This window comes from Homo sapiens, chromosome 12 (genome assembly GCF_000001405.40).
Source record: "Homo sapiens chromosome 12, GRCh38.p14 Primary Assembly".
NCBI lineage: Eukaryota > Metazoa > Chordata > Mammalia > Primates > Hominidae > Homo > Homo sapiens.
This window is the reverse complement of record NC_000012.12, coordinates 83,332,184-83,334,557: the sequence shown is the minus strand read 5'-3', so window position 1 is coordinate 83,334,557 and position 2,374 is coordinate 83,332,184. Positions and strand designations below refer to the sequence as shown.

Below are 2,374 nucleotides of genomic sequence, written 5' to 3'. Positions count from 1 at the left end.
TATTGCTATATAACATATTCACCAAAACTGAGTGGCCTAAAAAAGGCTCATTTCCAAACTAGAAACTCTCTTAGTTTCTGCTGGTAAGGTATTTGGATACTATTTAGGAGGTTCCTTTGGCTCAGGGTCATTCACAGATTATAATCAAAGTGTCAGCTGGGGCTGCAGTCATCTTTTATGGCTTGACTAGGGGAATCTGCTTCCGGGCTCACTCTTATGAGTACCAGCAGAATTTAGTTTCTTGCTGCTGTCAGAGATCACCCTCAGTTTCTTGTCATGGACCTCTTCATAGGACAACACATAACTAGGAAACTAATTGTTTAGGGCAAGTGAGATAATAAGAGAGGACAAATAGTACAGACAGAAGTAGAATCTTTTTGTAACTCATCTCTGAAGTGACAGCCCATCATTTTTTCTGCATTATATTCACTAAAAGGAAGTTAATAGGTCCAGCCAACAGTCAAGGGCAGAAGATTACCCATGGGCGTTAACATCAAGAGGCAGACATCATAGGGGGCCACCTTAGATGCTGCCTATCATATTTCCTAACCTGTCTAATGTTCCTCACTATGTCCTTCCTTAAAGTTTGCAAGAATTACCAATAGAGGCTTTTGAGACTACAGCCAAAAAACTCTTTAACTCTCCTTTCCCATATTAGAAATTAGTAGATAGATAACTACCGTTTTTTTTAACACACTCACCACAAAAATATGTATCAATTAGAAATGTACCACATCACTTTTAAATGAAATTGCCACATAAAGGGAGGAGAAAGATGGAATCTGGGTCTATACAAATAACTCAGTAATTTCTTGATATTGATTTCTAAATAACCAATCCTATTCAGCACTTTAATGGAATCTCTAACTTTGCTCTGTACCCTTCCTCATTCACAGTAGGCGAAAATGATAAGCTAATTTGGATGTGGATATTTAGCGACAATAACAGAGACTTAGATCCTTAAACACATAGTTAAAATAAAGTTACATTTTTCTTCCCTTTGTTGTATCCTGCTATGGATGCTTCTATTCTCTAAAGCCATGTCACCTCTTCTTTGAAAATAATATTTGTAAGATGGAAGGAATTTATTGAGTAAAATTAGATTTCCAAAGAGATCAGCAATAGATGTACCCTTCAAAGTAATGTAATTTACACCACTGAGTGTCTGTTGACCTGTAAATTTACAACAAGCCTGCTGTCACTTTCTTGCTCAATCATGGAAGATGTGGAACATCAGTCTTTGAAAAAAGACAGAGTACTTCACAACACAACAGGCCTCCAGGGCTCTTCAACAATAGAGTCTCAAAAGAAATTGCATTTTGTTTTTGAAGTGTGGGCCAATAAATAGTTCTGCAACACTAAGTTCTTTTTAAATTCACCTAACAAAACTCTCTTAAGAAAGAGAGTATGATGCGGAACGAATTCTAAATTAACAGCCAATAAGTTTAATTGAGCCCATTTTAAAATATCTCTTTAGGCTCACCAGGTTAAAGTATAAACAGCAAAGAAGAAGAAGAAGAAGAAATTGTGGTCATTAGGCCAGCTTTTCCAAACTCTCTAGGTATTAATCTTGTCTTTTTAATAAGAAATTCTTATTAGTTATTGCGTTTTCAGATGATACAACATCACATTGGAAAGAGCTCATTTTAAGCACTGATTTCTATCTTCTGAGTTCTTAACAGAAAAATTAGATTCAATACACAGCAAATTATACCATTCTAGTAACCTTAACCTTACTTCTTACACTGGTTTCTTTTTTTATTAAAATAAATTCAAGTCTCTCCAACATTTAAAATATGCACACTCTTCTAAAAGACTTGTCTATATTCACTAACTTCCCTCTCATAGCCTTGACTCCCATAGGGTTAAAGTATTTAGCTTTGAGTCCCTCTTTTACCACCATCTTTATCTGTTATTAATTTACCAAAATTCTTACAAATTTAGCAGCACTTTGATCCAGACCAAATGGACTTTCCAATTTTGCTCTCAATTCCAGATATCGTATTCACATTTGATTATAGTTTTCTATCTCTTAAAGAAGAGACCTCTCTTGCCTTGAACAGTTTCTCATTTTTCTCTTCTGTCCTTAGTATCATCTCAAGCTGTCCTCCATTTCCTGGTCTCCGTCTCCATTATGGCCCAGGCTCTACATCTGAATTGAGGCAACAGCCTCCTAGCCCACTATTTACCCCTCTTCTAGTGATGTGATGTAGCCAGTCTGTACCAGTTTGTGAGAGTAGGTCATTACATTTTCAGGAATTGTGCCAGCTGGTTTTAAACAAGTAATTATTAAATATTGAAATATATAAGTTTATGCTTAAATAAATTGTATTGTAAATGAAGGTAATAATTGTGTATCCCTTACTACTTTCTA

General features: G+C 35.5%; 1 annotated feature.

Annotated features, from left to right (window-relative positions):
- Positions 995-1,496: an enhancer, noted in NCBI's record as "NANOG hESC enhancer chr12:83726841-83727342 (GRCh37/hg19 assembly coordinates)". NCBI's record gives its function as "activates a minimal SCP1, AML or CMV promoter by ChIP-STARR-seq in naive H9 embryonic stem cells {active_cell/tissue: H9 hESC(naive)}" and the evidence as "EXISTENCE:reporter gene assay evidence [ECO:0000049][PMID:30033119]".